Source organism: Homo sapiens (assembly GCF_000001405.40).
Source record: "Homo sapiens chromosome 22 unlocalized genomic scaffold, GRCh38.p14 Primary Assembly HSCHR22_UNLOCALIZED_CTG3".
Classification (NCBI taxonomy): Eukaryota; Metazoa; Chordata; class Mammalia; order Primates; family Hominidae; genus Homo; species Homo sapiens.
This window is the reverse complement of record NT_187388.1, coordinates 154497-179772: the sequence shown is the minus strand read 5'-3', so window position 1 is coordinate 179772 and position 25276 is coordinate 154497. Positions and strand designations below refer to the sequence as shown.

Below are 25276 nucleotides of genomic sequence, written 5' to 3'. Positions count from 1 at the left end.
GAATTCTGCTTCACAATGATAGGAAGAGCCGACATCGAAGGATCAAAAAGCGACGTCGCTATGAACGCTTGGCCGCCACAAGCCAGTTATCCCTGTGGTAACTTTTCTGACACCTCCTGCTTAAAACCCAAAAGGTCAGAAGGATCGTGAGGCCCCGCTTTCACGGTCTGTATTCGTACTGAAAATCAAGATCAAGCGAGCTTTTGCCCTTCTGCTCCACGGGAGGTTTCTGTCCTCCCTGAGCTCGCCTTAGGACACCTGCGTTACCGTTTGACAGGTGTACCGCCCCAGTCAAACTCCCCACCTGGCACTGTCCCCGGAGCGGGTCGCGCCCGGCCGGCGCGCGGCCGGGCGCTTGGCGCCAGAAGCGAGAGCCCCTCGGGGCTCGCCCCCCCGCCTCACCGGGTCAGTGAAAAAACGATCAGAGTAGTGGTATTTCACCGGCGGCCCGCAGGGCCGGCGGACCCCGCCCCGGGCCCCTCGCGGGGACACCGGGGGGGCGCCGGGGGCCTCCCACTTATTCTACACCTCTCATGTCTCTTCACCGTGCCAGACTAGAGTCAAGCTCAACAGGGTCTTCTTTCCCCGCTGATTCCGCCAAGCCCGTTCCCTTGGCTGTGGTTTCGCTGGATAGTAGGTAGGGACAGTGGGAATCTCGTTCATCCATTCATGCGCGTCACTAATTAGATGACGAGGCATTTGGCTACCTTAAGAGAGTCATAGTTACTCCCGCCGTTTACCCGCGCTTCATTGAATTTCTTCACTTTGACATTCAGAGCACTGGGCAGAAATCACATCGCGTCAACACCCGCCGCGGGCCTTCGCGATGCTTTGTTTTAATTAAACAGTCGGATTCCCCTGGTCCGCACCAGTTCTAAGTCGGCTGCTAGGCGCCGGCCGAGGCGAGGCGCCGCGCGGAACCGCGGCCCCGGGGGCGGACCCGGCGGGGGGGACCGGCCCGCGGCCCCTCCGCCGCCCGCCGCCGCCGCCGCCGCCGCGCGCCGAGGAGGAGGGGGGAACGGGGGGCGGACGGGGCCGGGGGGGTAGGGCGGGGGGACGAACCGCCCCGCCCCGCCGCCCGCCGACCGCCGCCGCCGCCCGACCGCTCCCCGCCCCCAGCGGACGCGCGCGCGACGAGACGTGGGGTGGGGGTGGGGGGGGCGCGCCGGCGCCCGCCGGGCTCCCCGGGGGCGGCCGCGACGCCCGCCGCAGCTGGGGCGATCCACGGGAAGGGCCCGGCTCGCGTCCAGAGTCGCCGCCGCCGCCGGCCCCCCGGGTGCCCGGGCCCCCCTCGCGGGGGACCGTGCCCCCGCCGCCGGGGCCCCGCGGCGGCCGCCGCCGGCCCCTGCCGCCCCGACCCTTCTCCCCCCGCCGCCGCCCCCACGCGGCGCTCCCCCGGGGAGGGGGGAGGACGGGGAGCGGGGGAGAGAGAGAGAGAGAGGGCGCGGGGTGGGGAGGGAGCGAGCGGCGCGCGCGGGGTGGGGCGGGGGAGGGCCGCGAGGGGGGTGCCCCGGGCGTGGGGGGGGCGGCGGCGCCTCGTCCAGCCGCGGCGCGCGCCCAGCCCCGCTTCGCGCCCCAGCCCGACCGACCCAGCCCTTAGAGCCAATCCTTATCCCGAAGTTACGGATCCGGCTTGCCGACTTCCCTTACCTACATTGTTCCAACATGCCAGAGGCTGTTCACCTTGGAGACCTGCTGCGGATATGGGTACGGCCCGGCGCGAGATTTACACCCTCTCCCCCGGATTTTCAAGGGCCAGCGAGAGCTCACCGGACGCCGCCGGAACCGCGACGCTTTCCAAGGCACGGGCCCCTCTCTCGGGGCGAACCCATTCCAGGGCGCCCTGCCCTTCACAAAGAAAAGAGAACTCTCCCCGGGGCTCCCGCCGGCTTCTCCGGGATCGGTCGCGTTACCGCACTGGACGCCTCGCGGCGCCCATCTCCGCCACTCCGGATTCGGGGATCTGAACCCGACTCCCTTTCGATCGGCCGAGGGCAACGGAGGCCATCGCCCGTCCCTTCGGAACGGCGCTCGCCCATCTCTCAGGACCGACTGACCCATGTTCAACTGCTGTTCACATGGAACCCTTCTCCACTTCGGCCTTCAAAGTTCTCGTTTGAATATTTGCTACTACCACCAAGATCTGCACCTGCGGCGGCTCCACCCGGGCCCGCGCCCTAGGCTTCAAGGCTCACCGCAGCGGCCCTCCTACTCGTCGCGGCGTAGCGTCCGCGGGGCTCCGGGGGCGGGGAGCGGGGCGTGGGCGGGAGGAGGGGAGGAGGCGTGGGGGGGGGGGCGGGGGAGGACCCCACACCCCCGCCGCCGCCGCCGCCGCCGCCCTCCGACGCACACCACACGCGCGCGCGCGCGCGCCGCCCCCGCCGCTCCCGTCCACTCTCGACTGCCGGCGACGGCCGGGTATGGGCCCGACGCTCCAGCGCCATCCATTTTCAGGGCTAGTTGATTCGGCAGGTGAGTTGTTACACACTCCTTAGCGGATTCCGACTTCCATGGCCACCGTCCTGCTGTCTATATCAACCAACACCTTTTCTGGGGTCTGATGAGCGTCGGCATCGGGCGCCTTAACCCGGCGTTCGGTTCATCCCGCAGCGCCAGTTCTGCTTACCAAAAGTGGCCCACTAGGCACTCGCATTCCACGCCCGGCTCCACGCCAGCGAGCCGGGCTTCTTACCCATTTAAAGTTTGAGAATAGGTTGAGATCGTTTCGGCCCCAAGACCTCTAATCATTCGCTTTACCGGATAAAACTGCGTGGCGGGGGTGCGTCGGGTCTGCGAGAGCGCCAGCTATCCTGAGGGAAACTTCGGAGGGAACCAGCTACTAGATGGTTCGATTAGTCTTTCGCCCCTATACCCAGGTCGGACGACCGATTTGCACGTCAGGACCGCTACGGACCTCCACCAGAGTTTCCTCTGGCTTCGCCCTGCCCAGGCATAGTTCACCATCTTTCGGGTCCTAACACGTGCGCTCGTGCTCCACCTCCCCGGCGCGGCGGGCGAGACGGGCCGGTGGTGCGCCCTCGGCGGACTGGAGAGGCCTCGGGATCCCACCTCGGCCGGCGAGCGCGCCGGCCTTCACCTTCATTGCGCCACGGCGGCTTTCGTGCGAGCCCCCGACTCGCGCACGTGTTAGACTCCTTGGTCCGTGTTTCAAGACGGGTCGGGTGGGTAGCCGACGTCGCCGCCGACCCCGTGCGCTCGCTCCGCCGTCCCCCTCTTCGGGGGACGCGCGCGTGGCCCCGAGAGAACCTCCCCCGGGCCCGACGGCGCGACCCGCCCGGGGCGCACTGGGGACAGTCCGCCCCGCCCCCCGACCCGCGCGCGGCACCCCCCCCGTCGCCGGGGCGGGGGCGCGGGGAGGAGGGGTGGGAGAGCGGTCGCGCCGTGGGAGGGGTGGCCCGGCCCCCCCACGAGGAGACGCCGGCGCGCCCCCGCGGGGGAGACCCCCCTCGCGGGGGATTCCCCGCGGGGGTGGGCGCCGGGAGGGGGGAGAGCGCGGCGACGGGTCTCGCTCCCTCGGCCCCGGGATTCGGCGAGTGCTGCTGCCGGGGGGGCTGTAACACTCGGGGGGGGTTTCGGTCCCGCCGCCGCCGCCGCCGCCGCCACCGCCGCCGCCGCCGCCGCCCCGACCCGCGCGCCCTCCCGAGGGAGGACGCGGGGCCGGGGGGCGGAGACGGGGGAGGAGGAGGACGGACGGACGGACGGACGGGGCCCCCCGAGCCACCTTCCCCGCCGGGCCTTCCCAGCCGTCCCGGAGCCGGTCGCGGCGCACCGCCGCGGTGGAAATGCGCCCGGCGGCGGCCGGTCGCCGGTCGGGGGACGGTCCCCCGCCGACCCCACCCCCGGCCCCGCCCGCCCACCCCCGCACCCGCCGGAGCCCGCCCCCTCCGGGGAGGAGGAGGAGGGGCGGCGGGGGAAGGGAGGGCGGGTGGAGGGGTCGGGAGGAACGGGGGGCGGGAAAGATCCGCCGGGCCGCCGACACGGCCGGACCCGCCGCCGGGTTGAATCCTCCGGGCGGACTGCGCGGACCCCACCCGTTTACCTCTTAACGGTTTCACGCCCTCTTGAACTCTCTCTTCAAAGTTCTTTTCAACTTTCCCTTACGGTACTTGTTGACTATCGGTCTCGTGCCGGTATTTAGCCTTAGATGGAGTTTACCACCCGCTTTGGGCTGCATTCCCAAGCAACCCGACTCCGGGAAGACCCGGGCCCGGCGCGCCGGGGGCCGCTACCGGCCTCACACCGTCCACGGGCTGGGCCTCGATCAGAAGGACTTGGGCCCCCCACGAGCGGCGCCGGGGAGCGGGTCTTCCGTACGCCACATGTCCCGCGCCCCGCCGCGGGGCGGGGATTCGGCGCTGGGCTCTTCCCTGTTCACTCGCCGTTACTGAGGGAATCCTGGTTAGTTTCTTCTCCTCCGCTGACTAATATGCTTAAATTCAGCGGGTCGCCACGTCTGATCTGAGGTCGCGTCTCGGAGGGGGACGGGCCGCTCGGCGGACGGACGGACGGAATCGCGCCGGCCCGACCGCCCGCCCGACGCTCCGTCGGGAGACGGGCCCGGCGAGGGGGAGAGGCGACGGGAGAGAGAGCGCGCGGCCGACGGCGCCCCCGCGCCGCCCCGCCGGAGCGGGACGACCGGAGGGAGGGGCACGGGCCGGGGGCGGGACGGGCGCCGCACGCCCCGACCCGTCTCCCCCGCGGAGGTCGGGGGGACGGGTCCGAGGACGCGGCGGCGGAGCCGCCCCGCCCCGACGCGGAAGCTCGGGACGGGGCCCCGGCGCGGCGCGGCGCGGCCGCGAGCCGGAGGCGGGCGCGCGACGGCGGACGACACCGCGGCGTCCCGCGGGTCGCCGCCGGGGACACGCGAACCCCGGCGCCGCGGCCACGGGCGCGGCCGGGCGGGCCGCGGGGCGGGCTCCCGGCCCCGGCCGACGCGCCGCGAGGCGAGCCGGGCGGGCGGGCGCGCGCGCGTACGCGCGGGGAGGGCGAGGAGGACGGGCGGGGCCTCGGAGGAGGGGCGGCGGGGAGGAGGAGGGGCGCGGGAGCGGCGGTCGGCCGGACGCCGGGCCGCCACCGGGGGCGGGCGGCGAACCGCGGCGACCGGGACGCGCTCCCCCGACCCTCTCTCCCCGCCGGCACCCTTCCCCTTCCGGACCCGCCTTCCTCCTCCCCCACCACCACACCGCACGCAACACGCCCCCACCGCCGACGACGCGCGACGACGACGACGACGACGGGCACGGGACCTTCCACCCGGCCGGGGCCGACGAACCCCGAACCCCGAGCCGCGCGCGGCGCGAGGGAGCCCCCCGAGGGAGGAACCCGGACCGCAGGCGGCGGCCACGGGAACTCGGCCCGAGCCGGCTCTCTCTTTCCCTCTCCGTCTTCGCGGGCGGCGGCGGCGCCGCCCTCCCCGTCTCTCTCAGCCGGGCGCGCCCCCCTCTCCCCCCCGCCACCCGACGCGTGACCACGCAGGGCCCGCGGGGGGAGGGGGAAGGGGCGGGCGCGGCGGCAAGGGGAGGGCGGACGCCGCCGGGTCTGCGCTTAGGGGGACGGAGGGCCCCCGGCGGGCCCTGCGAGGGAACCCCCAGCCGCGCACCCCGAGGAGCCCGGAGGCACCCCCGGGGGCGATTGATCGGCAAGCGACGCTCAGACAGGCGTAGCCCCGGGAGGAACCCGGGGCCGCAAGTGCGTTCGAAGTGTCGATGATCAATGTGTCCTGCAATTCACATTAATTCTCGCAGCTAGCTGCGTTCTTCATCGACGCACGAGCCGAGTGATCCACCGCTAAGAGTCGTACGAGGTCGATTTGGCGAGGGCGCTCCCGACGACGCACCGGGAGGAGGCCCTTCCTGGCGCGGCACGTCCCCCCCCCCCCCGCCCAAGAGGAGAGGGGGTTGCCTCAGGCCGGCCAGACGAGACAGCAAACGGGACCGGACTCCGGAGAGGGGTCGGAAGGTTTCACACCACGGGGAGGCGCGCGCCGCCCACGCGGGGGCGAGCGCGGACACCACCCCACAGGCGCCCGGGGGTTCCCGCCCCCACGGCGCGGGGCGCACGCCACACGCGCGGCAGGCGCGCGACGGCCGCCGGGTAAAGCCCCCACCCGACGGCCGCCGCGGCGGCGGCGGCGGCGCGGCCCCGGCCGGGGAGCGGAGTCCGCGGTGGAGGCGCGGGAGGGGCCGGGCCCCTCCCGACGGGACTCCCCCGCGGGCCCACCACCGCCCCCGACCCACGGGCGGACGGGCGATCCCCCCAAGGGGTCTTTAAACCTCCGCGCCGGAACGCGCTAGGTACCTGGACGGCGGGGGGGCGGACGAGGAGGCGGGGGAGGGGACCGGCGTCCGGCCCCCGACCCTCGAGACGCCCTAGCGGGAAGGCCGGGGAGAGCGAGCGGGGCCGTGCCCGGCGGCGCGGAGCGGCGCGGCGGAGGCGACGGGAATCCGGCCGGCCCCGAAGACGGGGAGCCGGCGCGGCGGGGCCGGACGACGGGCCCCGGCGGGGAGGAGGGCACCGAGACCCCCCAGACCCGCCGCGACGCCGCCGAGAACCGCCCCCGCGCCCGCCGACACCCACGTCGTCGGGGCCGCGGCCGGGGACCGCTCCCCGCCGCCCGCCGGCCCCACGACACGCGCACACCAACGACACGCCCTTCTTTCTCTCTCTCTCTCTCTCTCTCCCCCCCGTCTCCCTCCCGAGTTCTCCGGCTCTCGCGGCCGGCGGGGCCGGGCGGCGAACGAACGAGCGAGCGAACGAACGGGCACGCGGGCCCCGCCCGCGCACGCGCCGCGTCGCGGTGGGGGGGCGGGTGTGCGGAGGGAAGCGCGCGGCGGCGGCGGCGCCGCCGCGGGCCTCGCCCTCCGGGCTCCGTTAATGATCCTTCCGCAGGTTCACCTACGGAAACCTTGTTACGACTTTTACTTCCTCTAGATAGTCAAGTTCGACCGTCTTCTCAGCGCTCCGCCAGGGCCGTGGGCCGACCCCGGCGGGGCCGATCCGAGGGCCTCACTAAACCATCCAATCGGTAGTAGCGACGGGCGGTGTGTACAAAGGGCAGGGACTTAATCAACGCAAGCTTATGACCCGCACTTACTGGGAATTCCTCGTTCATGGGGAATAATTGCAATCCCCGATCCCCATCACGAATGGGGTTCAACGGGTTACCCGCGCCTGCCGGCGTAGGGTAGGCACACGCTGAGCCAGTCAGTGTAGCGCGCGTGCAGCCCCGGACATCTAAGGGCATCACAGACCTGTTATTGCTCAATCTCGGGTGGCTGAACGCCACTTGTCCCTCTAAGAAGTTGGGGGACGCCGACCGCTCGGGGGTCGCGTAACTAGTTAGCATGCCAGAGTCTCGTTCGTTATCGGAATTAACCAGACAAATCGCTCCACCAACTAAGAACGGCCATGCACCACCACCCACGGAATCGAGAAAGAGCTATCAATCTGTCAATCCTGTCCGTGTCCGGGCCGGGTGAGGTTTCCCGTGTTGAGTCAAATTAAGCCGCAGGCTCCACTCCTGGTGGTGCCCTTCCGTCAATTCCTTTAAGTTTCAGCTTTGCAACCATACTCCCCCCGGAACCCAAAGACTTTGGTTTCCCGGAAGCTGCCCGGCGGGTCATGGGAATAACGCCGCCGCATCGCCGGTCGGCATCGTTTATGGTCGGAACTACGACGGTATCTGATCGTCTTCGAACCTCCGACTTTCGTTCTTGATTAATGAAAACATTCTTGGCAAATGCTTTCGCTCTGGTCCGTCTTGCGCCGGTCCAAGAATTTCACCTCTAGCGGCGCAATACGAATGCCCCCGGCCGTCCCTCTTAATCATGGCCTCAGTTCCGAAAACCAACAAAATAGAACCGCGGTCCTATTCCATTATTCCTAGCTGCGGTATCCAGGCGGCTCGGGCCTGCTTTGAACACTCTAATTTTTTCAAAGTAAACGCTTCGGGCCCCGCGGGACACTCAGCTAAGAGCATCGAGGGGGCGCCGAGAGGCAAGGGGCGGGGACGGGCGGTGGCTCGCCTCGCGGCGGACCGCCCGCCCGCTCCCAAGATCCAACTACGAGCTTTTTAACTGCAGCAACTTTAATATACGCTATTGGAGCTGGAATTACCGCGGCTGCTGGCACCAGACTTGCCCTCCAATGGATCCTCGTTAAAGGATTTAAAGTGGACTCATTCCAATTACAGGGCCTCGAAAGAGTCCTGTATTGTTATTTTTCGTCACTACCTCCCCGGGTCGGGAGTGGGTAATTTGCGCGCCTGCTGCCTTCCTTGGATGTGGTAGCCGTTTCTCAGGCTCCCTCTCCGGAATCGAACCCTGATTCCCCGTCACCCGTGGTCACCATGGTAGGCACGGCGACTACCATCGAAAGTTGATAGGGCAGACGTTCGAATGGGTCGTCGCCGCCACGGGGGGCGTGCGATCGGCCCGAGGTTATCTAGAGTCACCAAAGCCGCCGGCGCCCGCCCCCCGGCCGGGGCCGGAGAGGGGCTGACCGGGTTGGTTTTGATCTGATAAATGCACGCATCCCCCCCGCGAAGGGGGTCAGCGCCCGTCGGCATGTATTAGCTCTAGAATTACCACAGTTATCCAAGTAGGAGAGGAGCGAGCGACCAAAGGAACCATAACTGATTTAATGAGCCATTCGCAGTTTCACTGTACCGGCCGTGCGTACTTAGACATGCATGGCTTAATCTTTGAGACAAGCATATGCTACTGGCAGGATCAACCAGGTAGGTAGGTAGAGCGCGGCGAGGCCCCGACGCGGCCGGACGGCCGGCCGGGGGGCCTCGCGAGGACGGGCCCGGCGCCCCGCAAGCGAGGAGGACGACGGACGGACGGACGGGCCGCGGACGGGCGGACGGGAGGGAGCGAGCGGGCGCGGGGGCGGCGGCCGGGACCGGTGGGGCCGGGGCGGGGCGCGGCGAACCGGACGCCCCAACCACCCGCCCCCCACGCGACACGACCACCGGGGCCCCGCGCCACAGACCCGCGACGCTTCTTCGTCGCGCCCGCCCGCGAGGAGGCGGACGGCCCGACCCGCGCCCGGCGGCCGGGAGGGACCGGCGGCCACGCGCGCGCGCGCGCGGCCGGCGCCCGCGGGCGGCGGCGAGGCGGGGACGGCGCTCCGCCCGCCCCGCGGGGCGGCCCCGACGTCCGGGCGGCGAGCGAGAGGCGGACCGCGGTGCCCGGCCCGGGGACAGTCGCGCCGTGCGGCCGCAGCGCCCGCGCACCGGTCCGGTCGAGGGCCCGGGGCCCGGCCGAAGCCCGGCTCCGAGCCCCGCCGGCGGGCGCGGGCGCAGGGGTGGCACACGCCACACGACGGCCAAGGGAGGGCCGACCGAGGCCGGCCGGCGCGCCCGCCCCCGCCCGGGACGGGGGACCGCGACCGGGGCCGAGGCCCCGGCCCGGGCCCCACCCCCCGACCCGGGGAAAGGGCGAGCGACCGGCAAGGCGGAGGTCGACCCACGCCACACGTCGCACGAACGCCTGTCCGGGAGGGACCACCGGGCCGCGCTCGGGCGCACGCGCGCGCCGAACGGGGCGACGCCACGCGGGGAGGACGGGCTCTCCCCGACGCCGACGCCCGGGACGGACGCCTCGGGGAAGGGCCGCGGCAGGCCCGGGAAGCGAGGCGCACCCGGGGGACGCGCCGACCCGGTTCGGAAGAGCGGGCCGGGAGAAGACGAGAGACCACGGGCGAGGCCGGGGCGACGGGGAAGGCGCGAGAAAGGCGGCCGGCGGGGAAGGGGACGCCACGGGGACCCCGCGAGCGCGGCCGACCGCAGCCGGGACACACGCGCGGGGCCTCACCGCCGCCGGCGGCACCGCGCGGCACCCGGGGCGGCCGACCGGCCCTCGGCGATCCCCGCGGCTCCCCCCACCACCGCCGCCGCAGTCGCGGCCGGTCCCCCGGAACCGTCTCCTCCCCCGCACGCGCCGCAGGCCGACCCCCGGAACCCTCCGGGAAGCCCACCGGGCCCCACGCGGGGCGCCACCGACCCGGTCCCCAAGGCGCGCGCCGGGGGACGCGGACGCCGGGCCGATCAGTGGCCGGCGGCGGCGCCCCACGAGGCGGTGCCGGGTTCGGTCCCAGGCGGGGCCACCAACGGACGTGAAGCCGGTGAGCCGCTCGGGGGGAAGAAGAGGATCGGCGGGCGGCGGGCGGGGAAGAGGGCACAGACGGGCGAGGGCCGGGGACCGCGAGGGCAAGGGCACCCGGGAGCCCGCAGAGGCGGCGGCTCGGGGAGAAACCTCAGGCACGGCCGGGCCACCAGGAAAACACGGCCGCGGGATCCCACCGCCACAGACACGAGGGCGGTCCCGCGGCGCCCCGCCTGGGACGCCGGACGGCCCTCGGCCCCCACCGAGAACCGCCTCGCGAGCCCCGGGGCCCCGCCACCGGGGGCCCCGGAGCGACCGCAGCCACGAACCCGACACGCCCGCACCACCGTCGCTCGTGATTCTCGTCCATCCTCCGACCCGGTCCCGCTCCGGGAGACCGGCGCGCCCCCACCGTGGGACGCTTTCCCAGGGCCAGGCGGGCCCGACCCCGTGCCACGCAAACGCGGTCGTCGGCACCGGTCACGACTCGGCACGGGAGCGGGCGGAGAGCCGACTCGCGGCGGAGGGGGTCACGCGCCGGACAGAGCGCCGGGCGCGCACACCCACCGCCCGCCGGCCGCCGCGTCCCAACCCGCTGGGAACGCCGGGCCCGGCCCGGCGGGATCCTCCCCCGACTCGGAAGGGGGGAGGCGCGGGCCACAGTAGGCGACGAGCCGCACTCGGCCACCACCGCGGTGGCCGGCGGAACCCTCGCTTCTCCCCCCCAACCCCGTCGAGGGGGAAGCGGAGGAGGGTCCTCTGCGAGCGGGTCGCTAACGGCAGCGCTACCATAACGGAGGCAGAGACAGAGGCGGCGGCCCGGGGGATCCGGTACCCCCAAGGCACGCCTCTCAGATCGCTAGAGAAGGCTTTTCTCACCGAGGGTGGGTCACACTCCCCCCACCCGCCAGCCGCTCCTCCTCGGGCCCGCAGAGGCGCCGAGGGACGCCTGGGGAAGGGAGGGGGCCCTGCGGTACGAGGAAACACCTGCGCGCGGCCACCTCGAGCGTTCGCGTTCAGGGCGGGGGCCCGGCCGGTGCGCGCGTGCGCGCAACCCCACCAGGCCCCCCCGTCCACCCACCTCCTTCCTTCCGAGGCAGAGCGCCTCCGAAGTCAACCCACACACGACCGGTCGGAGGCAGAACGGCAGCCCCTCGGCGGCCGGCCGGCGCACGCGTCACACCGGCCCGAACCCACCGCGATCGCTCACACGGCCCGCGCGCACCCGCCAGAGGGGAGCACGGGACGTGCGCTCACCGAGAGCAGGCGGGCGCCCTTCCCCGCGTGGGAGGGGCGCGTCTCGTCTCGTCTCACTCAAACCGCCTCGAACCCCACACCGACGAGCTCCCTCAGGACCCACGCGCGGACACCGCGGCGGCGACCGGAGGAGGGGGCGCCGGGGGCGGGAACGACACACCACCGTTCGGCCTCGGGCACCTGAGGGACAACCCGGAGCGCTCCAGGAGCACCGCAAGGGCCCAGGCGGAGCCGACGCTCGCGCAAACCCCCCCGAGAGGGCAGCACGACGGGCCGGCGGGACGGCACCCCCACCGCCGCGGAGGGGGGCCGCCCGCAAGTCGACAACCACTGGAGGCGACAGCGAGGGCTGTCTGCCGCGTCGGAGGACCCCGCCGGCCCGCCCCGCGACGCAGAAGGCGGCGGGCGGGACGGCGAGGTCGGGCCGGGGTCCGCACCCCACGCCTTCCCACACGCACCGCCGGCGGGCGGGGAGAGGAGAGACGAGGGGACCCCCGCGGGGCGGAGCGAGAAGGACGGTCCCGTTCGCCACGAACGTCCGCCCCTCGCCCGTCGCGGCTCGGACCCGGCCCGGGAGAGCACGACGTCACCACATCGATCACGAAGAGCCCCCCGGGAGCGGAGGCCGGCCGGCCGGCCAGCGAGCCGATCGGCTCCGGCCAACCCCCCACTCCGGGGAAGGGGCGGCGGACAACCCCGCGGAGACGAGAACGCCTGACACGCACGGCACGGAGCCAGCGGGGTGGGGTTGTCGCGGCCGCCCCGGGCGCCCGCAGCGGAGAGCGCACGGGGGCACGGTGGCCCTCGCCGCCTTCCCCGCCGCCCCCCGGGTGGGTCAGAGACCCGGACCCGGGCCGGCACCGGGAGTCGGGACGCTCGGACGCGCGAGAGAACAGCAGGCCCGCGGGCCCCGGCAGGCGGCTCAAGCAGGAGCGCGGCCGGCTAGCCGGGTCACCGGTAGGCCAGAGCCCCGCGCGCATCCGGAGGCCCAACCTCTCCAGCGACAGGTCGCCAGAGGACAGCGTGTCAGCAATAACCCGGCGGCCCAAAATGCCGACTCGGAGCGAAAGATATACCTCCCCCGGGGCCGGGAGGTCGCGTCACCGACCACGCCGCCGGCCCAGGCGACGCGCGACACGGACACCTGTCCCCAAAAACGCCACCATCGCAGCCACACACGGAGCGCCCGGGGCCCTCTGGTCAACCCCAGGACACACGCGGGAGCAGCGCCGGGCCGGGGACGCCCTCCCGGCCGCCCGTGCCACACGCAGGGGGCCGGCCCGTGTCTCCAGAGCGGGAGCCGGAAGCATTTTCGGCCGGCCCCTCCTACGACCGGGACACACGAGGGACCGAAGGCCGGCCAGGCGCGACCTCTCGGGCCGCACGCGCGCTCAGGGAGCGCTCTCCGACTCCGCACGGGGACTCGCCAGAAAGGATCGCGGCAGAGGGACCGCGGCCCGGCCCGGGGACCGCTCCCCGGCACCCGGGGGACGGGGGCGGGACGGTCCCCGGCTCCCCACGGGGACTCGGAAACGAATTCGGCCGCCGCCTCAGACGGCCAGGATGAGCGCGGACCCGCGACCGGGCCGGGAAGGGCGTCCCCAGCCTCCCGCGCCACGCGCGGCGGGTCCCCGCGGGTCGCGGCTCGGGCCTCGGGAGCTACGGCGCGCTGGTCGACCGGCCCGGGCAGCCCCACGCCCGCCTCGGGCCCAGAAGCGCAGCGACAGCCTCTCCCCCACATAAACCTGCACGCCAGAGCTGTGACTCACAAGCGACGCGCCACAGCTCTGGCGCCACCGGGCCAGCCGGGCTGACGACCGCGGGCTTTCCGGAGCTCTGCCTAGCTCACAGCGGGGACGGTCCCCTCCCTCGGCAGCTGCCACCGCAGCTCCGGAAGCCGAGAGCACGATCTCAAAGCGGCCGCCAGATGGAGCCCGACAACCGCCGCGGACGTCAGCGAGACAGATCCGGCTGGCAGGGCGGCCCGTGGACCGCGAAAGCGAAACCGTGAGTCGAGAAGCTCTTCCCGAGGCCGAAAACGCAGCCCCTCTGCCCCAACCCCACACAAACGGTGCCCAAAACGCGTCTCTGCCTCGACCGCGACAGAGTCAGAAGACAACCCACGGCGCGTGGGTGTTTGGAGATGCCTCTCGGAAGCAGGGAGGGAGGGAGGGAGGGAGGGAGGGAGGGAGGGAGGGAGGGAGAAAGAACACACAAGGACTCGGTCGCGGGTCGCTGCAGACACACGGAGAGGCAGAATGCGTAGGCTCTTCCGGAATCCACGCAGAGACAGACGGGGGGAGGGGAGTGGGGAAAAGAGACAGATGGCGAAAGGGAAGGAGGGAGGGAAGGGAGCAGGGAGGGAGGGAGGGAGGGAGGGAGGAAGAAAATGGAGAAAAGAGAGACAATTTAGAAAACGTAGATACACAAAGTAAACTTCTGAAACACTCCATTTTTTAAAAGACAGGCGGAAAGGAAAGAAACACGAAAAAGAGAGAAAGAATGAGGAAAGAAACGAAGGAAAGAAGGGAAAAAGAAACAGAGAGGAAAGAAAAAAGAAGGAAAGACAGGGAACGAAAGAGAAATAAAGCACGAAGGAAAAAAGGACAGAAAGAGAGAAAGAAGGAAAGGAAGAGAGGAAGAAAAACCTAAAGAAGGAGAGAAAGGAAGAAAGGAAGGAAGAAAAACACGAAGGAGAGGAAGAAAGGAAACAGAGATAACTACGTACGCTCGTTCATTTACACACATAAATACGACGCTTTTCATACGTAAAATAAACGTCTTTATCGACGATCCCTTCTTTATAGAGCGATGTGTATTTATTTGTATAACACAAACACCTACATCTATCATACAGAAGTCTATTTCCATACAACCGATACGTATTTACCATACGCAAGAGTATTCAATGCAGAGATACACGTTGTCGTTGTTTGCATATAAGCGTACAGAAACGTTTACATTACTACATATAAGTAAACGCGTGGAAACGAAAGAAATAAAAAAGCGAAATGAGTCAACAGGCCGGGCACGGTGGCTCACGCCCGTCATCCCAGCACTTCGAGAGGCCGAGGTGGGCGCATCACAGGAGGTCGGGAGTTGGAGACCAGCCTGAGCAACATGGAGAGACACGGCGTGCCTACTAAAAACACAAACATCAGCCAAGCCAGGCGTGGGGGTGCCTCCCTGTCATCCCCGCTAATCGGGAGGCTGAGGCAGGAGAAGCGCTCGAACCCGGGAGGCGGAAGGTGCGGTGAGCCAAGATCGCGCCATTGCACTCTAGCCGTGGAAACAAGAGTGAAACTCTGTCTCAAAAGGACGAAACAGAAAGAAAGAAAGAAAGGAAGGAAGGAAGGAAGGAAGGAAGGAAGAAAGAAAGAAAAGAAAGAAGGAATGAATGAAAGAAAAGAAAGCAAGAAAGAAAGAAAGAAAGAAAAAGAAAAGAAAGAAAGAAAAGAAAGCAAGAAAGCACGAAAGCAAGCAAGCAAGAAAGCAAGAAAACAAGGAAGCAAGAAAGCAAGCAAGAAAGAAACAAAAGAAAGAAAGCAAGAAAGCAAGAAAGCACGAAAGCAAGCAAGCAAGAAAGCAAGAAAACAAGGAAGCAAGAAAGAAAGAAACAAAAGAAAGAAAGAAAACAAGAAAGCAAGAAAGCACGAAAGCAATCAAGCAAGAAAGCAAGCAGGAAAGAAACAAAAGAAAGAAAGAAAGCGAGAAAACAAGAAAGCACGAAAGCAAGCAAGCAAGAAAGCAAGCAAGAAAGAAACAAAAGAAAGAAAGAAAGAAAGAAAACAGGAAAGCAAGAAAGCACGAAAGCAAGCAAGCAAGCAAGAAAGCAAGCAAGAAAGAAACAATAGAAAGAAAGAAAGAAAGAAAGAAAAAGAAAACAGGAAAGCAAGAAAGCACGAAAGCAAGCAAGCAAGCAAGAAAGCAAGCATGAAAGAAACGAAAGAAAGAAAGAAAGCAAGAAAACGGGAAAGCAAGAAAGCACGAAAGCAAGCAAGCAAGCGAGCGAGAGAGAGAGAGAGAGAGAGAGAGAGAGAGAGAGAGAGAGAGGCTGGGCGCGGTGGCTCACGCCTGTCATCCCAGCACTTTGGGAGGCTAAGGCAGGCGGACCACCTGAGGTTGGGAGTGGGAGACCAGCCTGACCAACATGGAAAAACACCGTCTCTACTAAAAGTACAAACATCAGCCAGGCACGGTGGCCCATGCCTGTAATCCCAGCTAATCAGGAGGCTGAGGCAGGAGAATCGCTTGAACCTGGGAGGCGGAGGGTGCGGTGAGCCGAGATCGCGCCATTGCCCTCTAGCCTGGGCAACAAGAGTGAAACTCTGTCTCAAAAAAAAAAGAAGAAGAAGAAGAAGAAGAAGAAGAAGAAGAAGAAGAAGAAGAAGAAGAAGAAAAAGAGAAAGTAATAAAGAAAGAAAGAAAGAAAAGGCAAGGCCAGGCAAGTCCAGGCAAGGCAAATCTACCTGCTTTCACTACATCTGGGGAGAATCAGGAAAGTCCCCAACAACAACAAGGCCTAAAGTGGAGCTGCCATCTGTCAAACCCGAGCGGAAGAGTCCACGCGGGTTAAAGACACGAAGAAAGACAAGGAAACCCCTGACCAAGGAGAAGAACAATCGGGCCCAGCCAGGGTCTGTCTCCCGGGGTTGTCTGGGCAACCAGGGAGGGCGGGCCTCCGAGACTCCGTCTCGAAACATCAATCATGATAATAACATAAAATGAAGTTAAAAAAAGAAATCACGCATAATTCCTAACGTGTTTGAGGCCTCGAAAGGCGAGAGGCGTACGTGTATGTCACGGTGGGGTTGTTCTGTTTTGTTGTTTTTTTCTTTTTTCTTTTCTTCTTTTTCCCCAGAAACTCACTTTTTAATTATTTTGTTGCGTTTCATTTTCATTTTCATTTTTTGGAGACGGAGTCTCGCTCTGTCGCCCAGGCTGGGTTGCAGTGGCGCGATCTCGGCTCACTGCAACCTCCGCCTCCCAGGTTCAAGCGATTCTCCTGCCTCAGCTCGGCCTCCCGAGTAGCTGGGATTACAGACAGTACAGCACAGCACAGCGCCCGGCTAATGTTGTGTATTGTGAGTAGAGACGGGGTTTCACCATACTGGCCCTGTTGGTCTGACCGCCTCTTGATCCACCGGCCTTGGCCTCCCAAAGTGAGGGGATGACAGGCTTGAGCCACCGCGCAGGGCCCATTTATTTATTTTATTTTATTTATTTATTTTAATTTATGTATGTATGTATGTATGTATGTATTTATTTATGTATTTATTTTTGAGACGGAGTTTCGCTCTTGTTGCTCAGACTGGAGTGCGATGGCGCAATCTCGGCTCACTGCAACCTCCGCTTCCCAGGTTCAAGCGATTCTCCTGCCTCAGCCTTCCTAGCAGCTGGGATTATAGGCCTGTGCCACCGCGCCCGGCTAGTTTTGTATTTTCAATTGAGACGGGATTTCTCCATGTTGGTCGGGCTTGTCTCCAACTCCCGACTTCAGGTGATGCGTCCACCTCGGCATCCCAAAGTGACGGGATGACAGGCATGAGCCACCGCGCCCGGCCTATTGTATTGTATTGTATTGTATTGTATTGTATTGTATTGTATTGTATTGTATTGTATTGTATCGTATCGTATCGTATTGTATCCTATCGTATCCTATCGCATCCTATCGTATCGTATCTTATTGTATTGTAATGGGTTGTATTGACTTATTTTATTTAGTTAGTTACTTTTGTGTTATTTTATTTATTTATCTGTTTGTTCGTTTTTGCCTGATCAAAGGTCAATCAGACCCAGTCGTCAAAGTGGCGATTTCCTAGGCAACAAGGGAGGGAGGAACTTGGAGGTGGGGGCGGGGGCGGTGGAGAAGACACAGTTGCCCCAGGCTGTGCGCAGGCGGCCTGGTGCTCCCTTCCTCTGTGAGGCCTCCGTTTTCAGAGTAACAGTGACCGCTAGGTGATGCCCGACGCCTGCCAGTGAGCGTGTCAGCCCGGAATGAATTGGGATCCCCTGGGGAGGGGGTGGGGGGAAGGATGGAGGCTCCCACAGCACAGTGGGTCACCGCGCCCTCCAAGGCGATCCCCACAACTAATCGACCAGGGCTCCTGGGGGGACGCAGCCTAAGTCCCCCACCCATCGGATCATCTGGAACTTCCGTCCAGAGACGAGAGACCGACTGGGAATCCTCTCAGTCAAGGTCCAAACCGAAAAGAATCACTGGCACGGACACCAGGGCTAAGGCCATTTCTAAAAGACTGGTTTCTGTGTTTTGGGTGAATCCGTGTATTTCTGTATCACAAAATGACTGACTTTGAACGTTACGATTTTTCTCCTCCTTACGTGTACGGTCCTGTGATAGACAGACCAGGGGACTCCTCGGCTCAGAGTCCGTGAGGCCAGAAGCTGACGTCCCAAATTTCTATTTAGAATGAGTTTAAGCACGCCAGCCAAACGCTCTGCCGTGAAACTGTCTGTCGGGAAGACAAGCGGGGGAAGGGGAAAGGGGGGGTCCGGGCGCGGTAGGCTCGCGCCTGTCATCCCCGCACTTTTGGGAGGCCGAGGGCCGGTGGATCCCTCGGTCCAAGCCTTGGCAACACGGTGAAACCTCGTCTCAAAAAAAAAAAAAAAAAAAAAAAAAAAAAATTACAAAAACTAACTGGTTTCATAACCTGGACTCAAAGTTAATAAATAGATAAATAGGCCGGGGGCGGTGGCTCACGCCTGTCATCCCAGCACTTTGGGAGGCCGAGGTGGACGGATCACGGGGTCAGGAGATCGAGACCATCCTGGCTACCACAGTGAAACCCCATCTCTACTCAAAATACAAAAAGTTAGCCGGGCACGGTGGCGGGCGCCTGTAGTCCCAGCTACTTGGGAGGCTGAGGCAGGAGAATGGCGTGAACCCGGGAGGCGGAGCTTGCAGTGAGCCGAGATCACGCCGCTGCACTCCAGCCTGGGCAGCAGAGCGAGAGTCTGTCTCGAAAATAAATAAATAAGTAAATAAATAAATAAATAAATAAATGTAAATAAATAAATAGATTAAAATGGAAAACTAAAAAAAAGTAAAATAATTAAAAAAATAAATAAATAAACGTAGCCGGCCAGTCACGATGGCTCACGCCTGTCACCCCAGCACTTTGGGAGGCCGGGGCGGGCAGATCCACTGGGGTCGCCAGTTCGAGACCAGCCTGACCCACATGGAGAAATGCCGTCTCTACTAACAATACAAAATCAGCTGGGTGTGGTGGCTCCTCCCTGTAATCCCAGCTACTCAGGAGGCTGAGGCAGGAGAATCGCTTGAACGCGGGAGGTGGAGGTTGCGGTGAGCCGAGATGGTGCCACTGCACTCCAGCGTGGGCACCAAGAGTGAAACTCCGTCCGAAGGGAAAAAAAAAAATTAATTAAGTGCTGTATTCTGTTATTTTTGCTTCCTACCCTGAGAAGAACATAATACAGCTGTTGTCTTTCTGCCTGCCTGCCTGCCTGCCTGCCTGTGGCAGGGCCTCATTCTGTCTTTCGCCCAGACTGGAGCACAGTGACACAACTATGGCTCACTCACTGCAACCTCAACCTCCCCAGGGTTAGGTGATTCCTCGAGGGATCCTACGGCCTCGGCCTCCCAAAGTGTTGGGGTTACAGGCGTGAGCCACCAGCACCCGGCCTGAGTTAATACATCTGGTCTCACTACGTCTTAACCACGCACCCACGAAGAACTCAAGTCAAGAGAGAGTCGGCAAGAGACTCTCAGCATTCTCTCCCGAAAGCACGTGTGTCCCGAGCTCCTGTGGTTTCAGGTGGCCGCGCGTAGAGGAGAGATTTCCAATGTTTCCGGAGAGGTGCGAGCCACAGTCACTCGGGGCATCCGAGCATGAGATGGGGTTTCTGACAGCGACTGAAGGGCCAGGAAGGGCCAGAATCTGCCAAGGCCCGGCGTTCCAGGGTGGGGCCGAGGGAACCCAAGGTAGAGGGAGTCAGCGGTCCGCACGGAGAGAGCTCCAGCCCTAGGCCCCACTGTGCAGACCGAATCAGAAGGAAGAGAGTCCTTCGTCCTACCTGCCACACCCCTCACATCCCCCCACTGAACTTGGGAGTGGATCCGTGTTCTAAACACGAGGTGACTCTCGGTTTGCAATGGATCACAAGGCGCCGGGCTTTCCAGAGTCAGCAGGATAAAGAAGTCATTCTGTCTCGGACTCCCCCATCCCCCGGTAACGGCGGCTGGTGCCTTTAAATGAGCCGGGGCTGGCCGGGCCGGAGCCGCTATGGGGGGGGGGGGGGGGGGTGCCTGTGGCACTGCAGAAAGTGGGCCTGAGCCTCGAGGATGGCGGTGCTGCAGGGACCCGTCCAGGCTGCTATATGGCAAGCACTAAACCACTATGCCTACCGAGATGCGGTTTCCCCCGCAGAACGCCTTTATGCAGAAGTACACTCAGAAGAAGCCTTGTTCTTACTGGCGACCTGTTCTTACCGCTCAGGAAAGGCCTATAAAACATATAGACTCTTGAAAGGACACAGTTGTACTACCCCGCAATGCAAATGCCTGCTTGCGAAATGTTGTGTTGATCTCAGCAAGCTTGCAGAAGGGGATCAAATCTTATCGGGTGGAGTGTTTCATAAGCAGAAAAGCCACGATGATATTATCGTTCCTGAGTTTGGTGATTCAGCTCGCTTTCCCCTTCCATCGTCGGGACATGTATATTGCAAGACAGATCGGCTTACCAAAGGATCAGAATGTGACCAAAAGAGCCTTCGTTGAAATCCTTTCCTCTGGTGTCCCTTTGAATCATGATGTGAAATAGGGGGGAAAAGCCAGATCCTGACCAAACATTTTGATTCACCTCTCTAGAGAGCTTTAGCAACTGCCTGTCCAAGTGTTGCGCCACAACACTTGGACCTCGTCCTAGTTTATGTCACAGACAGCCCGAGACCGTTCTTACGGAAACACCCCAGGACACCGTCGAATGAAACGGATGGAATTTAGAATCTTCCAATTCAAAGTACTCCTTGAATACAGACTCCCCAGTGTCTTCTATCGATTCAGCTGTCCTTTCACCTGATACTGTCCCACTGGGAACAGGAACTTCCATATGATCTAAACAGGTTCAACATAAACCAAAAACTGGTCGAAGTTTATTAGGAGGACCAGCAGCTGTTAGTCCATTAACCCCAAGTGTTGGCATTTTGCCATTAGAAACCCCAAGTCCCGGAGACGGACCCTATTGACAAAACTGCACTGGTATGAGACACCGTCTGTCATTGACGTGCCATCCACCGGAGCCCCTTCAAAAAAGCCTGTTGCCAGAATCGGCCAAACCGGAACACCGTCTGTCTTCTCGCAGAGGGGAAAGAGCCGAAAGGTAACTCCAGTCCTTGCAAAAACACAAAGTTCTGGTCCGCCGACAAGGGCAACACCTCAGGTATTGAGCCCCACTATGGCATCTCCCCCAAATGCACCGCCTCGAAGAAATTCACGACTCTTGACTAGTGACAGCTCCACAACCGAGGAGAATAGGAGAAAATTAAAAATGAAGTTTCCACCTAAAATCCCAAACAGAAGAACCAAAAGTAAAACTAATAAAGGAGCAATAACTCCACCGAACATAAGTGATAGCCTGGAAGTGACAAAATTGGACTCTTCCGTCATTTCAGAAGGGAAAATAGCCGCAATCGCGCCTCAGATTCAGGCTTTTAATCTACAAAAAGCAGCAGCGGAAGGCTTGATGAGCCTTCTTCGTGAAAGGGGGAAAGGTTATTTAGCTTTGTGTTCTTACCACGGCAAAGAAGCTATCAGCATCTTGAGCCATCTAGCTTCTCACCACTGCAATACCGGTTGGGTACTGTGCCAAATCGGAAGGGCCTATTGTAAACTTTCAGAGTCCACGCAAGCTGAAAGACAATTCTCAGAGGTTAGGAGGATTGAGAATTACAGAGTCGAAGGCATGGAGATCTACTCTACAACACTTTGGCATCCTCCGAAAGAGGTTGCTCTTTCAGTTCTGTCCAAAGACTTCACAGACATGGATAAAAATTCGCCAGCCAGAGGCCTGGTGTGCTGCAGGGAACTGTTTCGGTCTGCAACGGGAACACGATATTGCGATTCAATTCTTCCAGAGAACTCTCGAAGTGGATCCAAATGATGCTTATGCCTATAGCGCATTAGGGCGTGAGCTTGTCTTCACTGAAGAACTGGACAAAGCATTAGCTTGTTTTCGAAATGCTATCAGGGTCAATCCTAGACATTGTAAGGCATGGTAAGTGCTAATGAAGCGTAAAGACAAAGCCCTATGGATGGTGCCGGTACTCGCTAATTTTTCTGGTTAGATAGCTCTTTATTGTCACGAATTTGGTGAAAAATACTTAGGGATGGTACCTACTGCTGAATAACTTCTAACTAAGATGTTTCCTTACGAAACGTATGTCTTGAACAAACTCTGAAGTGAACTCATGATCGTAGAATACCAGATCCTTATACTCAACAGTTTCAGTCTTCTAGCAAACTTTTGCAGACGCTGTAGTTGTCTTTGGTTTGTGTGTGTGTTTCTTTAGTTGTGTTCCTTGATTTGTTACTTTTTCTTCGAGCACCGAAGTGGTGATGGGGACAAGAAGTGCTTGGGAGACTGGAAAGGAATAGCATAGTTCACTTATTGGATAATAGAAAAATACATGGAAACAATTCACTAGCTGCTGCTTTTTGACAGTGTTCCAGTTTACGGAGTTACTATGAAGAACTTCACGTACCCTTTCATTTAGCAGTCTCTCTGTTTTACTCTTTTGTACTCGTGTATAAGTAGGCACATAGGAAATTACTACCTAGGTCATATTGTTATCAACTGAATAAGATAGGAAAAAGTGTGGTCCTACTTCTGCCTCAACACCATCCTCACCGTTGACATTTATTGCGTTTCTCTGGACTGACTTCATAGTTTAAACGTCAAGAGAAGGCCGGGCTCAGTGGCTCACGCCTGTCATCCCAGCACTTTGGGAGGCCGAGGCGGGCGGGTCACGAGGTCAAGAGATCGAGACCATCCGGGCCGACACGGTGAAACCCCGTCTCTATTAAAAGTATAAAGATTAGCTGGGCGTGGTGGCGGGCACCTGTAGTCCCAGCTACTCGGGAGGCTGAGGCAGGAGAATCGCTTGAACCCAGGGAGGTGGCGGTTGCAGTGAGCCGAGATCACACCATCGCACTCCAGCCTGGGCGACAGAGCGAGACGCCGTCTCAAGAGAAATAAATTAAAAAAAATAAATACATACATAAGTAAATATCAAGAGAAAGTATGATTCTGAAGTCATAACCCTGTGGTAGTTATTTTGTCAGATACGGTGATCTTTGGGGTGACTTATTACAGCAGTGGAGTTCTATCATTTGATTTGCTTCTAAATCTGAAGCATTATATTACTGAAACACTTTTTGATTTGCGAATATGTTGTTTAATGGATCGTATCTCATTTTGCTGTAGTAGTTACATTGCCCGAAAGATGGCCAAAAAGATAGTGCCAGCTACTGCTGACCAACGTAACAATCAACTTGCCAATACTGCCTTCTCTTCCGATAGCTACGTTCTCCGTCCTATTTTAAGAACTCAGTTCTTCATAAGACTTGTGTGGTTTTCGATTTTTTCCCAAGTCTGGTTGATCCTTGTGTTGTTATTTTTTTAAATGTGTATCGTCTGTTCAGCTATTTTGCAGGAGTCGCATTCTTAAAAAAATCTTAACCCTATCAAAAATTGTGTTTGTTTAAAGGAGGATTATTCAGATTGGCCAGCTTTTACTAGGAAGAGTGTAAATGCTGACGTATTTAGGTAGCTCTAAATACTGAGCAACTTTATTCTAACCACAAAATAGATAGCCTTTCTTTTGTCTTCACTTTCACTATCATTAGCACAGTGTTTAATACCGTTTCTTCATCTATAACACAATTATAATGATATAGGAAGCCACTCAAATAAGGCAGACATGTTGCGTTGCGCTTAAAAAAAAAAAAAAAAAGAAGTCTCTCTGTGGCACGGAATGAGGTGTGGCTCGAATCTAGAATCTCCAGTGAAAACCAATGAAAGAGGGTGAAACCCCGTGTCTACCAAAAAAAAAAAAAAAAAAAAAAAAAAAAATGAGCCGGCCATGGTGGCGCTGAGACAGGAGAATCACTTGAACCCAGGAGGCAGAGGTTCCAGTGAGCTGAGATCACGCCACTGCACTCCAGCCTGGGGGACAGAGCAAGACTCCATCTCAGAAACAAACAAACACACAAAGCCAGTCAAGGTGTTTAATTCGACGGTGTCAGGCTCAGGTCTCTTGACAGGATACATCCAGCACCCGGGGGAAACGTCGATGGGTGGGGTGGAATCTATTTTGTGGCCTCAAGGGAGGGTTTGAGAGGTAGTCCCGCAAGCGGTGATGGCCTAAGGAAGCCCCTCCGCCCAAGAAGCGATATTCATTTCTAGCCTGTAGCCACCCAAGAGGGAGAATCGGGCTCGCCACAGACCCCACAACCCCCAACCCACCCCACCCCCACCCCTCCCACCTCGTGAAATGGGCTCTCGCTCCGTCAGGCTCTAGTCACACCGTGTGGTTTTGGAACCTCCAGCGTGTGTGCGTGGGTTGCGTGGTGGGGTGGGGCCGGCTGTGGACAGAGGAGGGGATAAAGCGGCGGTGTCCCGCGGGTGCCCGGGACGTGGGGCGTGGGGCGTGGGTGGGGTGGCCAGAGCCTTGGGAACTCATCGCCTGTCGGGACGTCTCCCCTCCTGGTCCCCTCTCTGACCTACGCTCCACATCTTCGCCGTTCAGTGGGGACCTTGTGGGTGGAAGTCACCATCCCTTTGGACTTTAGCCGACGAAGGCCGGGCTCCCAAGAGTCTCCCCGGAGGCGGGGCCTTGGGCAGGCTCACAAGGATGCTGACGGTGACGGTTGGTGACGGTGATGTACTTCGGAGGCCTCGGGCCAATGCAGAGGTATCCATTTGACCTCGGTGGGACAGGTCAGCTTTGCGGAGTCCCGTGCGTCCTTCCAGAGACTCATCCAGCGCTAGCAAGCATGGTCCCGAGGATCCCAGCTCCCAGCAGAGGCACTTTTGGTCACACAGGATCCTGGGCAGGAAAGTTCTCAGCAGGCTTAGGCCTCCTAGCCAAAAAGCCAAAACCACTTCTGGGATTTTTTTCAAAGAGCCAGTGGTTCCACAAGGGGCCGTGGGTAGTTGTGGAAATGGAGAGAAGTGTTTGCACGTACATATTTGAGACAGAACGGACAGGGCTCGGTCACAGATCACTTAGGACACGGGCAGATGCACATTGAGAAAACTCTTCCGGCATCCTAGGGGAACAGAGGTACGATTTTTCGAGACAGTCGAGGGAGAAGCCACCCCAGATTTTAGGATTGGATCTTTATTCATATGTAGTTTCTATGAGGTATCCAAGTCCAGAAATCAACTCGCCAGTTCTGTACAGCATTCTGTAGGGAGATCAAATCTGGGATGTCAGAAGTGAAGAATTCAGGCCTTGGTAAGGGATGAGATTAGATGTACTTGAGCTTCTTTTGCAAAAAAAGAGAGGGCGGGAGATAGCGAGAGCCAGAGACCGAGACAGACAGACGGACAGACAGACAGAGAGAGAGAGAGAGAGAGAGACAGAGAGACAGAGACAGAGACAGACAGAGAGAGACAACGATACACAGAGAGAGAAAGACAGAAAGAGAGAGAGAGACAGATAAAGAGACAGACGGAGAGAGACAGATAAAGAGACAGACGGAGAAAGACAGAGATGGACAGAGACAGAGAGAAACAGAAAGAGAGAAACAGACAGGAAGGGAGAGAGACAGGCAGAGAGAGAGAGACAAACAGACAGGCAGACAGACAGGCAGAGAAAGAGAGTAAGACAGAAGGCAGACACACACA

General features: G+C 61.4%; 1 protein-coding gene and 4 pseudogenes across 1 annotated transcript; 2 read left to right on the top strand and 3 right to left on the bottom strand.

Moving 5' to 3' along the window:
- LOC124905332 (uncharacterized) lies at nucleotides 1-4466 on the bottom strand (annotated as a pseudogene).
- On the bottom strand, nucleotides 5662-5817 carry RNA5-8SP9 (RNA, 5.8S ribosomal pseudogene 9; annotated as a pseudogene).
- LOC124905331 (translation initiation factor IF-2-like) lies at nucleotides 5727-8196 on the top strand. Its single transcript, XM_047442803.1, has 2 exons — nucleotides 5727-5737; nucleotides 6121-8196. The coding sequence occupies exons 1-2, from the start codon at nucleotides 5727-5729 to the stop codon at nucleotides 6893-6895; spliced, it is 786 nt and encodes a 261-aa protein (XP_047298759.1). The 3' UTR covers nucleotides 6896-8196.
- On the bottom strand, nucleotides 6893-8761 carry RNA18SP4 (RNA, 18S ribosomal pseudogene 4; annotated as a pseudogene).
- Nucleotides 19668-22123, top strand: LOC102724621 (cell division cycle protein 27 homolog; annotated as a pseudogene).
- The last annotated feature ends 3153 nt before the right edge of the window (nucleotides 22124-25276 follow it).